This window comes from Homo sapiens, chromosome 2 (genome assembly GCF_000001405.40).
Source record: "Homo sapiens chromosome 2, GRCh38.p14 Primary Assembly".
Taxonomy (NCBI): Eukaryota; Metazoa; Chordata; class Mammalia; order Primates; family Hominidae; genus Homo; species Homo sapiens.
In genome coordinates this window covers 21219127-21233295 of record NC_000002.12, presented here as the reverse complement: position 1 = coordinate 21233295, position 14169 = coordinate 21219127, and the positions used below count along the sequence as shown (strand labels likewise).

Below are 14169 nucleotides of genomic sequence, written 5' to 3'. Positions count from 1 at the left end.
CCCAGACAAGAGTGACAGGTGTGAAAATTATTTCTGAAGCAAATCATACAGAAGAGGAATGGCAACTCGATGATCCTTCATACCTAGGTTGAATTATAGATCTAGGTAGAGCACGGCCTAAAACTCTGCCATTAAATAATCATTCTTTTGACTTCATCTTTGCCTACAGGAGGTATGAGCCCTTCAATCCTCAGAGTAAGTTTAGAATGGTACAGAGCTGATGACTTCTAAGAGAAAAGGGGAAAGTGTGGTAGGGGACAAGGCTGGACCCTCCACACAAGTACGTGGGATTTTACTGAAGCCCATTCATTTTACCTCAGCTAAAATCATTTAGGGACCCCCTTTAGACCTGAGTGTGGGGGTCCCAGAGAAAATACCCAATCATTCTACAGTCTAGGAAACTGACTAGAATGTGGCAGAGAACCAACTTCTATTTCCAGACAACATATTATAATTTTTGAAGTCTTGTAAATAATTTAAGTAGCCTAATACTCATTATCTTTAATGTATTCTTCAGAACTGCTTCCATGCAATACTGATATGTGAGCTACTTTGTTTCCTTTTCCTCTTTTTTTTAGCTTAATGAAGCTTTTAGTCTTATTGTAAGCAGCATCATTTATAATGGAAAATAGCCTCCTTGGGAAGCACAACAAAATCTCTCCCAAAAATAATCGAAGAGAAAGGCAAACAAATTGTTTAGATCTTCCTCCCAGTTTTCCACCTGACCAAAAGCTGTCAAAAACTCTGGCTGGGATCCTGGGGTTATGAAGGGCAGTATCAATCCTACTAACACATAGTACATAATGGTCACATATTCCACCAGCATGTGGCTTCACAAAGCAGCAGGGGAAGGAGACAGAGGTGGCAGTCCCTGTTCTGACACAAATCACTAAGTGACCTTGGGCAAGTCACATTAGCCTCCCTGAGCCCCTCTCTTCATCTGTCAAATTGGCATCATGATACTGACATATACTACACAGAGCTTTCAAAGTTTAGATAAGTGCAGGAAGCAGGTTGGAAATACAACTGTTTCTGTTTGCAAGTGTCTGGGAGATGGCAAAGGTTCTGTGCTAGTGTGTGTGACTCCAAAAGTCACTGGGCCAGTCAAAAAAAAAAGAAAAGAAAACAGGAAGAGAAAGAGGAACCTGAAGGCTATTTGAATCTTCTGTGACCAAAAGTCCTTCTCCTACTCCACTTTATTTGCTGTTCTATTATTCATCCTTCAACTTACCCTACCCTATCCTTTGTATCTGTCTCAAGACAGGGTCCCAAGACAGGGTCCTAGTCACCCTACAAGTAGCTGCTCAGGGGGCTTCCATTGCCAGTGGCCCAATTCCCCCACTCCTTTATTCATTTGTCACACCATTGAACAGCTCTAGGATTCAACTGTTGCATAACACATCACATTTCTACCTCTTTTTACTCAATCACTTTAACCCAAAAGGGGGTTCTTCACAATTAGGTGGAAATAATTCAAATCTGCTGATTTCTACTTTAAAAGCACCATAATAATACTGAAGCAAATCTTACAACTACCCCCCAATTCCAGCTATGCTCAAAACTGGACTATATTTTCCTGAGTTTTCTTAATCTGCATTCTAGATTAATTAATGCTCTGTGCCTTTCTTCCCAATTGTCCTTTCATTGATGCTTGCAATAAACCTGAGATAGACAAAGAGAAATCAAGGCACCATCCAGTTATGAGGTTTCTTCCTGGGCCCAAAGAACATCATTAACCTTTGCCCTACATCCTCCCTCTCTCCATAAACAGATGCTCACAACACTTGTACCTGGCTGATGACTCTCATCTCCTGTGCTACAGTGGCAGCGTGCATTTTTTTTAATTTGAAAAAGGTGATTTTAATTTCTAGTCATATTTCTCATGAACACTGAAAACTCTCCCTATGATATTTGACCCGTATATTAAGAAGTCATGCTCTGAGCATATTTTAATCAGTTAAGGTAAATCAGTTAAGTCATTTGATGCTTTACTTCTTGCTAAATTTATAATATCATTTCTTTGAAATCAATTTCTGCAGTTTAAATAAGTCACTTGTTCTTGATCTTCTGAATTTTCTTTAATATAAAATTCAGACTGATCTGCAAGAAATTTCAAGATTAAAGTACGGTAAAGGTGGGCTAGATGCTGCACTTTATGTGATATAATAATTATTTTTATCGCACCACCTATATTTCACTAAGGAAATGTAATAAACAGGAGAAAAATACTGTTAAATAGAGAGGTTTTCTTGTTTTCTACATGACTGAATCTTCTGATATTTTCATTACAGATTCCAAATAGAAACAAATCACTGTGTGCCTGATTTTACACAGTACTGGGCTAAGGGCTATAAAAAGGAACTTCAATACATGTTTATCGAGTACGTGCAATGTGCCAGTCACTGTGCTTGGTTGGGGATAGGTGTGAACAAGATAGAGTCTCTGACCTTTAGCAGCTTACAGTCTGGTGGGGGAATGCAGTCACGTAAAAAGTTATAATTCCATATGATAAATGCTATTAAAAAGGAAAGCAAGACCCAGAGAAGGGACCCTATCCCAGACTACCAAGAGGTCAGAAAACATTAGTAGCTGGTTTAGAGGAAGAGGGAAAGGATGAAAATAACAAAGTGAGACAGGAGGCCAGACACTGAGGGCCTTGTAGGTTATATTAAGAACTTGACTTCACTTTGAGAGAGATGTAAAGTTATCGCAAAATCTTTAAACAGAGAATAAGCATAATTAGGTTTTTGAAAACAAAAAAACATTCTGTCAGTAGTATGGAGATGAATTCAAAGAGGAGATAGTCTGGAGGCATGAAAAATTAGGACAGAGATGGTAGCAGCCTGCTCTGGGGTTGGCAGTAAAGTTAGAATAAAAATGGTTTTGCTAAATATTTAGTAGAATCACTAGGACATGGTGATTGGTTGAATGTAAGAAGAAGGATTCAAGAATGATGCAATCATAGAAGTAGGGAAAGGATATGGGCTATTTGAATCGTCTATGGCACATCCCAATGAGATTCTGAATAATACATAGATCTGGAGCCCAAAAGAAACATAGGGTCTAGATGAATAGTTGTGAACACTGTCACTTACAGGTGTAATTGAAATGAAGAAGATTGCCAGGGGAGTGTGATGGTGAAAGGGAGTGTGTAGAGTGGAAGAGAAGGTCCAAAACAAAACCCGGAGAAGCCTCAACACTGAAAGGACCCCAATGAGGTTAAAGAACTTGCAAATAAGACTGAAAATTACCAGCTAGAGATGTAGGAGGAAACAAGGGGAGTGCAGTGAGCATGGATGGCCTAGGAACCGTGGCAATAACAAGCAGATATTTTAAAAGGAAGAAAAATTGCTCAGACACCAATGGGCAACATACCATGTAGCTGAAAAGATGATCTTCATCAGTGGCCGTGCATTTTAGGTAATCAGGATTCAGCAAAGGAAAACTCCCAGATTAAAATAATTAAAGCACCTACAATTAGTAAGTATCCCTGCACATCCAAGGATTCACCCCCCAGTTCTGTGAAGGGAGCTGACCTTGGGATCAGATAGATCTGAGTCAAAATCCTATCCCTGTCAGTGACAAGAGATGCGATCTTAGGACAGTCATATGCACTCAGACTTTCCTCATCTGCAAAATGAAAATAATACCTCCACTGCAGGACTGTTGCAAAGATTACAGATATAAAGAGCTTAGCACTGGGTTTACCACATTGCAATGCTTATTAGTAAATGTCTGTTGAATCTGAATGCATTATTTTACAAGAGGCCCCTATCCTCCAGAGCCTTACAATTCTTGCACAGGAGAGGTCACTAAACTATTGCGCCTAATTGCAGGCTTGGCACTTCTTCAGTCTACTCTCTCAGATTCCATTAAAATACAGTCATCATCTATAAAAACAAGAAGGATAGGAGGCTGAAATTCAGAAAACAAGGCCTTGTAAAATGCATGTAGCACTGTCACAGCTCTAAGCATGTATGGCCAAAGGCAATCAACAGCAGCAAGCACAGTGTGTAGAGCCTGCTGCCTGGCTGGAGTGAGGGCAAGAGAAAAGGTGGTAGCAATAGGACCACTGTGTCTTTCTGGGGAGAAAGTGATAACTCCTAAGAAAAGTTTCTTCAGATCTCATTTGTCACATGCAAGTTAATAAAATAATGTAGTCAAGTTTCCTGGAAAGGAAGCAAAAGGATCTATAAACCTATCTATTCCTATTTTACTCATGCCTTTCTCTCTGAACCTACAAGAATCAGGAAGGCCAGAGTTCTGATCTGAGTTCAGCCACCATCTAGCCATGTTCTTTGGGTATATTGCTTACTATTTCTAAGCTTTGGTTTCCTCAATTACAAGATGGAGATTAAAAACAGTTTATCAAGCACACATAAAATAATATATATTAAATGCTAAGCATAAATCTTGGACAAAGTAGGTATTCAAATGATTGACTGCAGTTCAGTCATGTTAACAAGGGTCACAGCAACTCCGCCTCTTGGCCATGTCCTTCTCTGTCTCTGCAATCCTTCCCCCCACACTTTTCATCCTATGGCAATCCTCTCAGCAGGGCCTGTGCAGCTGCTATCAGGTCAACCAGCTGTGTACTGCAGAGAGCAGAGTCGTTTCCTGCCCTAAAATAAAGAGTCACCAAAGGCCAAAGGCCACTGTGGTATCATATCAGAAGCAGCCCCACCTCGGGGAGGGCCTCAACTCTGTTGCTTGAAAATACCTGGAACCACACACAAGTCACTCAGCTTCCGTGAGTTCGTTTCCACATACATACAGCACAAATACTAACACTGACCTCCACAAGGCTGTTAAGAGAATTACATGACAATATTTATGTAAAGAGGCTGGGAAGTTGTGAAATGGTATATGAATAAGAAAATTAGTAGTAGTGCTACCCAGATGCACAGTGGCTGCTATTTTCTGTTGTTATCACACTACTGCAGAGCATGCTACTGGAAAACCCAGCAGATCCCACTGGCACTCAAAACAAAAGGGTTGTCTTCTTTGAGCACTTATAGAAGGCAAGGGTTGCTGAATTTTCCTTTGGCACGTCTAAACTAGAATGCTTTTCACCTTTTACTTTACCTTATTACCTTTTAATGTATTATTTTGAAATAATTATAGACTCACGAGAAATTACAAAAATTATACAGAGATGTCCTCTATACCCACCGCTCAATTTCCCCCAATAGTGACACGTTACATAACTATAGCGCATTATGAAAACCAGTAAATAAAGATTTAAAGATTTAGAAAATGATACTGTAAAATGATAAAAACAAAACATTTTGGAGTAGATTAACCAAAACCCTGAAAATCATAAAAGAAAATAAATCAAGAAATGTAACTATATACAAATATTTTAAAATTCTAAATGAAAAAATATAAACAGAATTACAGGACAAATTGAAAAATGAAAAACTGCAATATATGTAACAAAGTTCTAATTTCTATAAAATGAAAGTAAATAAAGGCAATTTGGCAACACATGTCGTAATGTAAAACACCCAGGCACTTTAATTCAGCATTTCTGGGTATTTATCGTATTTCTATATTGGTAGATACAAGCTAAGGTATATGGTACTCATTGCAGCAGTGCTAATAATATAAAAAATGTTTAATAATATATCAAGTAGGCTGTTTTTTATAAACTATATTTATATCCACATAAAAGAATGTCATGAAACTATTAAAAGAAAAATATTGCATGATTTCACTCATATGTGGAATATATCTTTAAAAAGCTAAATATACAGAAATAGAGAATTAAACAGTGGTTACCAGGGGTGAAGGGTTGGAGAGGAAATGGAAAGACGTAGGTCAGAAGATACAAAGCAGCAGATATGTAAGATGAGCAAATCTAGAGATCTAATAAACAAAAGGAGAACTACAATTAATAAAATTGTATCTGGGATTTTTGCAAATTGATTAGATTTTAGCTGCCCTTACCACAAAAATGGATAACTATGTGAGATGATGGATATGTTAATTTGTTTCTCTATAGTTATCATTTTACTGCCTGTATGTAACTTATAACATCATGTTGTATACCTTAAATATACACAATTGAATGTATTTAAATAATAATTTTAAAAAGGAATGAAGCAGATTCCTATGAATGGAAAGTGATTTCAAATAGATATTGTCCAGTGCATAAAGTGCAGTAGAGCATATGGTATGCTTGCATTTGTGTCTGACTCTTTCAAAAGCGATTCACACATAGTTCACAGTGAATGGAATAGTTCTGGAAAGATATACAAAGAACTGTAAGTAAGTGTGGCTTGAGAAGCCAATTTCTTAATAAAAGATCTTCTCCATTTATTTCTCTGCCACTGCCTCCTCTCACTTTTTCACCACAAGGTTCAAAGGTTTCTCCTTCATGTATATTCAAGTTTTCCATAGTTCTCAGAAAAATTCTGACTTGAGTTTAAATAAATAAATAAACAAATAGACATTAAGTAGCTGAAACTATCTCCCCACTCTCCATCCCAAAATATGGTAGGAAAAAGTGCTAATATATCTTCCATTATTGACAATAATAATTAACATCTATATATAGCAATTTACCATTTGTAAAGCACGTTCTTATATGACTTTAACATTGATCTTCACAACCCACTATGAAATGAATATTTTCATCCCTATTTCCCAGATTGTTAAAAAAGTTAAGTAATTTGCTCAGATTTATGCAGCTAGTAAATGGTGGATGTGGGCATCAAGCAGACAGATCTTCTTGTTCTAATTTAATTACTTATTAGCGTATGTATTAATTTTTTTCAACTTTGAAAAATTATCTTAAAGATGACTTTAAAAGAGAACAAGTAAGTAGTGAGAACTAGGAAAAATCATTCAACCTGGGTATTAGCAAATGTTAGATCTTGAAAAAAATATCATTTTAATCAAGAATGAGTGTACAAAGCAAAACAGAACCACATAGTATTTACAAAAAGATGCCATAACTTAAAAGAAGAATACTATACTATTCAAGAAGCAGTAAAATAGTCTACTTTATTTAAAAAGAAATATTAATGACGGGAAAAATAAATACATAAATGTGAGGAACGCCAGAAACAGAGACCTAAGTGGAGTGCAGTCCCAGACCCGGAGGTCTTGGCAGATGGGCAGCAATCTGAACAGAGTGAGAGAAGTTTGTCAAGGCTCATGTTCATCAGACGCCACATCAAGTCATGCAGGAAGCAGCCATGATGGATTGTTGATTGCCATGTGGCAGCCCTCAAGGGCCCTGCAGATACTGTGAGGATGAGATCCATTGTTCACAGGTAGCACAGTGCATGTCAGGCACTTAGCTATGTGCTGGGAACATCTTCAGTCAGTACTACTCTACAACACCCCCCAGTAATTCAAGAGTGTCTCTGAATTCTCTGGGCCCTACCAAATTTGTGGAGGGTTGCTAATTCAATGAAAACATTTTATAACTAACAAATGAGAACATTTTTCCATATGCTTTCCACCTGTAGTTATTTAATGATATAGCTTGTCAAAGTAGAGAGAGCTTTATAAATTGGAATGAGTTCTACAAATATTTGAGATGTTTGGGGTGTTTTTCCCCAAAATAATTCTGGTAGAAATTTTTCCAACCCCATCGTTTCTTATGCAAACTTCTTAATTTTTACTATAAAGCAATGTTTTTTTTTATTATCTTAGTTAACACAAAATAGATCCCAGTCTCAGCCTTTAGTCTTGTTTTAATTATGCCAGAAATACCAAAACAAAACAAAATGAAAATCCCTCATATTGGTGATCTGCTCAACTTCATTCACATATCTGGTTTCATCTCAAGTTATGAAAAGGATTACCTTTTCCAAATAGTAACTCTTTTTTTTTTTTTTTTTTTTTTGAGATGGAGTCTTGCTCTGTCGCCCAGGCTGTAGTGCTGTGGCGCGGTCTCGACTCACTGCAAGCTCCGCCTCCCAGGTTCACGCCATTCTCCTGCCTCAGCCCCCCGAGTAGCTGGGACTACAGGCGCCTGCCACCACGCCCGGCTAATTTATTTTTGTATTTTTAGCAGAGACGGGGTTTCACCGTGTTAGCCAGGATGGTCTCGATCTCCTGACCTCGTGATCCGCCTGCCTTGGCTTCCCAAAGTGCTGAGATTATAGGCGTGAGCCACCGCGCCCGGCCTCCAAATAGTAACTTTTAATGTGTGTAGGAAGAATGTTTCCTGCTTTGGGGCAGATTCAGTCTAAATTAAGAAGCCTGAAATCATATCTTTCTTCTTCTGTCTATAAATAAACAAAAGGAATGTAAAGACTATTAGACATATGTTCTAATTTTCTTTTCAAATCACATATACTGGTAAAATCATTTTAGTCTATCAGTATGTGTATCTCTTTTGTTAAATTAGGTAACTCATGTTTTGAGTTGAATAAAGTATAGTAGCAATAGCGTTTTCTTCAGTTAAATATGACAATATAATATGGCTGTTTTCTCATGGTATTCATTATCCTGGATATAGGCTAGCAAAGATATTCTTCAGCTGAGCCTGAACAATAATGAAGTGAGATGGTTCATATCCAATAACTTTACAGGTATATAAATTATGATTTTAATTGATGTATTAAATAAAATATAATTCAATATAATTTTATAATTAAAACCTATCTAATACACTTACTTCTAGAAATACATCTCAAATACATTAATCTAAAATAGAAAAAAAATCCATTTGTGCAAAGCTATTTAAAAGTACTGCCATTGGCAACTTACAAAAAATAGAAATCATACATACAAAGATCAGCTAAGTGCTTTCTTCCCATAGAAGAGGAAGTGACTGCTCAGGTAGGAACTATCTATTCTCTACTCTCTTTTTCCGTCCGCTGACTGAACACAGAAGACTCCAAGACCTGAGGGGGCAGTAGAGCCTCAAGTGGAAACATCCTAGGTTCCTGAATCACCACATGGAAGAAAGTTACCTGGAAACCACGAACATTTGCACCAGACCTTTAAATGAGCAAGAAATAGACTTTCATTGCATTCTTTAAGCCACTGAAATTTTGTGCTTAACAAAACCACCAGTTCTATGCTAAGTTATATACCAACCAATATTCAATAATGTGGAATGATTAAGAAAGAAGCTATAGCATTTTAAGACAGCTAGATGGTACCCTGATATTTATTAGCTACTTGATTGAGAAGTAGAAAACAAAACTATAGGTGCAGAATATTATAAGACAAAATGCTCTGAAGGGGTCATCTGATATTAGACATAAAGGAATGGCTAGTATTGAATTTTGAATTGCTGTGTTTACTGTTTCTTTATATCTGGTCTCCACTGTAAAGATATATGGCTAATTGTTAGGGGAAAGACTCATTAAGAATCCCCCCACCCATACCACCCATAGGTTGGACAGAAAATTGTTCATATGGTGTCATGTGTCAATGTAATCATCTCTCCTAAGAGATATTAGCATCTCTGGGGCAGACACCCTGTTGAATTCCCATGTATCTAGCACAGGGTGGAACACGTGGGAATTACTCACCATCTACTGAACACGTGTAGAAATCCATTTATCCAAAGACAATCGCTCCCTTTGGATTTAACTATACGTTTTTCTAACGGTAGTCTATTCTCCTTTCCCAGCTAACCTGCAATTTCTTAGACCAATCTCTTTAAGCTCTTCAGCCTTTTTCTCTAAACCAATACACTGAGCACACCATATAAAAAGCAACAGAGAATTAACTTGAGATTATCAGACTAATGATACAGCTATCATAGTGTGGAATGCTTTGTGAAAAGAATATTACTGCCAGAGAATAAATGTGAATACATTTTCTAAGATTTCACCAGGCATCTACATCTGTGTGCATGTGACAGGTTTTTGTTTGGTGTTTGCCTGAGCTGCTTAAGGCTTTTGTCCAGTGGAGGGACAGTACTGCCTAATTGCTGCACTCCATTTGTCCTACAACGAAGAATCCGCAGCTTCCTTCTTTATTAGCTTCTCCCAGCAAAACAGAACCATGACACAGAACTTGAACTCAATCCAATTAGGGAACTTTTAAGTTGAAATAATAGAAAGAGGCTCCTTGCATACCTCCTAATACCTGTTTTCCAGAAATAGATCTGAAACATTCAGGTGGGCCAGAGCCTGCAACTTCACTTTCCTGTCACCAAGTCACCACTAATAAGAGAAAGGACGCCTCTGTATCACCGAGGAGTATTTCCTTATCTGCCAAAAGAAACTCACGTTCCCCTCGAGGAAGCCAACCCTTCCAATCTCACAGAGGTTTAATGGGTATTTGCCACTAATCTTCTCTCTGGCACAACATTTATAAGGAAGCAAGTGAGCAACCCACTAACTTAGCTCTGTTTAATGGATTATTAGTCTTTGTGTTTCCTCTCTAGCCCCCTTATATTTTACTCTCAGTACAGAAGCTACACTGAACCTTTAAAAATAGGTCAAATCATATCAGTCTTCTCTCAAAGCCCTGTGTTGGCTTCCTATTTTGCTCCAAGTAACGAACTTAGAAGAGGCTTAGAAGGTCTTTATGATCTGACCCCCTGTGATCTCTGACATCTCTTCCTCTCCCCTCACTCACTCTGCTCCAGGAACACTAGCCTCCTTGCTATTATTCAAACACGAGAGACCACTCAAAAGCCCATGCAAAGCCTGTACACTTGCTGGTCTCTCTATATCGAAGCCTCCACCTTTTCCAGACACTCACTATAACTAACTCACAGACCTCCTTCAGATGTTTGCTCTAATATGACCTCCTCAATGAATGAGCCATCCCCCCAAACACACACACACATTATCCCTTTGTCCTGCTTTATTTTCCTCCATGCCATTTATTATCTTCCAGCATACTAAATCTTTTCTTAATTTGTTTATTGTCTGCTTTCTTCTACTCTAATCTAAGCCTCATGAGGGCAGGGATTTTTGTCTGCCTCTTTGCCATTGTACTGTCAGCCCCTAACTCATAACAGGTATCCAATGAATATTTATTGAAAGAACAAATTAAAAGCCTATTATGCACAAAAACACAGTGCACATAGTAGTACTACCACTGTATACACTACATGATTGTAATAACAAAGTAATAACGGGCAGTCTTTGGGAACAACAATGTACCCATGAACAAACATGAGATGAGAGGGCTTCTCTGAAAATAGAGATTAATATTCCTTATTTATCATCACCTTCACATAAAACTCAAACTACTGTGGTTTTGCTCATCCATCCTGTTTGCTCTCCCTACCACAGGCTACAGCCATCTCAATTTTTTTGGTAGTTGTCAGATTTTGCTGTTGTTGTTCACTAAAAAAGACCATTTGAAACTGACTCTTCTATATCTTGGTTTCACAGTACCTCCGTGATCTTCAATTAATTCCTGAGCAAAATTACTTCACCTGGATACAGTGGCTTTCCAACTGTTGAAGAACATATGTAGCCATTGGACCCAAAAAGAAAATTAAGTCTGTTTCTCATTCTGATACCATTTGACAAAACCCTGAGTTTCCTAGTTTAAGACACATTTAACAGCAAAACCAGTTGTTCTCAATTGTCATACTATATTTGTACAAAGCTATTGATTTTTCTTTCTAGGTTTTTTCTTTGGATTTTTTCATCATTGAAACAAACAATAGAAAAATTTTAAACTGACTACAATATAATATAAAGCTGCCTCATCTTTCCCTGTAAAATCCTGGAACAAAGACAGTACTCACCATTTTTTTCCGGTCTCTCCCTAAAGAGTACTATTTTTTTTTTTTTTTTTGAGGACAAAAAATGCCATCTTAGGTACAACAGAAAGTAATAAACATAGTCCAGGGCAGCCCCTAGCAACAATACAGGTAGACATTATATACATATATATATATATATATACACACACACATATATAGATACACATATATATACACACACATATATATACATATATGTTACTATTTATATATGTTACTATTATATATATGTTACTATTTATTTATAATAATAATTCTACAACAGAAGTTGGGATATTTTACAGAAGGAAAACTGACCTTTCAGAGACGTGAATTTGCTCAAAGTCACAAAGTAGTAAGTAACAGAGCTAGGATCCAAATCTAGACACCTGCAGACCAGCCTGTGTTCTTCCCACATAGCTGTGCTGCCTCTGTGCCAGTGCTGAGTCCAGTCCTGACCAAACCTCCTTAATGGAAACTTATAGCCTGGTACTTCCTGTGTTATTAAGGAAATGAATCATTCATACTTGGCAACATTTACTAATTCCTAGTGAACAGATTATATAACACTCTTGGCATTCAATCATTTACTAAGCAGCTAAATTACTATTTTAATCTAATGTGAAAACAGCTCTGATACTGTCAGTGTTAATCAGAAATTGCCATGTACATATTAGTGACTCCCACTCCTAAATAACTGATATCTTATTCATATTGCAGCATATAGAATGATGTTTACTAGAGTTTAGTTTAATTTTATCACATAACTCGGAAGGCATAGATATTTATGAGATTAAAATCGGGCATTTTAAATTTGAGGAAAGAAAACTGTATTTTATCGTATTAGAATCCAATGGATAGCAAATCTACTCCCACTTTCCCTACTCCAGCCTTCTAAATTTAGCTCCACATCACACAGGTCATTAAGATTCAAAAGTAACAACTGCGTCATTCCAGGTTTAAATGAAACAACATCAGAGCACAGGAAAAATTATAAAAATGTTCTTCTAAGTTAAGACCAAAGAGTTAAAATGTAAGGCAGATGGTAGCACTGAATTCCGTACCCTTGATTTGCTTACCAAAATGCACAAGAAATCTCAGAATGAGAAAGGCAGCTGCAAGAGCACTGGAAATTGGTAATATTGACAAATGATTTCTCAGTGGAAAAAAAGAAACATTTTAATTTACAAAAGTATGGGTGGGGTTCTAGGTCAGAACTAACGGGCCAGACAAAGTAATGGTAGATTTCCACCTAAATCATTGCTTACCTTAACCTCAAAGTCAGTGAGTGGGTGATAGGAACAGAAAAAATGTACGTGAAGAAATAATGGAAAGTTTCTAAATTTAGTGAAAACTATAAACTCACAGATCCGATAATTCCAACTAACCACAAAAACATACGAAATATGAAGAAAACTACACCATGATACACTATTATCAAATGGCCCAAAAGCAGTGATAAAAAGGAAATCATCAAAACAGCTGGAGGGAGGGAAGTGGGAGGGAGAGCAGAGGGGAGCATGCTAAGCAGAGGGGAGCAACAATCATGGTGACAGCAGATTTCTTGTCGGAAACATTGCAGTGAATAGAGAGTGGAGCACAATGTTTAGATACTGGAAAAAAAATCTGTCAATCTATTTTTTTATATCTAGCCAAAGTATACTTTAAATATGAAGGTGAAATAAGGAATTTTTCAAGCATATAAAAGCAGAAAAATCATCATCAGTAAACCCACACCACAAGAAATGTTAAAGGAAGAAGGCAGGAAAATCAGGCACTTTCTTCAGGCAGAAGAAAAAGGATAAAAGGTGGAAACGGCTTTAAACAAAGGAAGAAAGAACGCTGGAAACGGTAACTACACGGATAAATATACGAGATTGAGTTTATAACATATTTATAAGTAAAACATCCGAAAACAAATGTGTCAAAGAAACAGAAGCATACAACCCCAAACACACTATATGTGAGGTGGTATAATATCACTTGAAAGTAAAAGTTAAATATGTAACTATAAGCCTTAAAGTAACCACTAAATTAACAAAGCTAAGAGTTATAGCTCATAAGCCACCAAAGGAGATAGAATAGGATGAATTAATCCAAAAAGAAGGCAGGAAAAAAAAAGAAAATGAGGAATGAAGAATAAACAGATAGAAAATAACAAAATGATAGGTGTGAACCTATCTATATCAACAACCACATTAAATGTAAATATAAATGGTCTGATAACACAATTTAAAATCCAGAGACTGTCAGATTGGATACAATAGCAATACCCAACTACATGCCGCCTACAAAACTTCATTTTAAATATAAAGACACACATAGTTTAAGAGAAAAAGACTAAAAAACTATACACCATGATAACACTAACCAAAAGAAAACTAGAATGGCTATATTCAGACAAAGTATTATTCAAAGAAAAGACAATTAACAGCCATTAGAAAATAAATCCATAATTATAAATGGATCAACTTATCAAAAGGACA

General features: G+C 36.9%; 1 long non-coding RNA gene across 1 annotated transcript in view, besides 1 other annotated feature; it reads right to left on the bottom strand.

Moving 5' to 3' along the window:
* Nucleotides 1-12136, bottom strand: part of LOC105374317 (uncharacterized) — a 64310-nt gene extending 52174 nt beyond the window's left edge. Inside the window, exon 1 of the long non-coding RNA XR_002959373.2 lies at nt 12002-12136. This is a non-coding gene — a long non-coding RNA (uncharacterized LOC105374317). The remainder of the gene's footprint in view (nt 1-12001) is intronic.
* Nucleotides 7093-7293: a silencer, noted in NCBI's record as "peak3614 fragment used in MPRA reporter construct". NCBI's record gives its function as "represses an SCP1 promoter by STARR-seq MPRAs in K562 erythroleukemia cells {active_cell/tissue: K562}" and the evidence as "EXISTENCE:reporter gene assay evidence [ECO:0000049][PMID:32103011]".
* Nucleotides 12137-14169: the final 2033 nt, after the last annotated feature.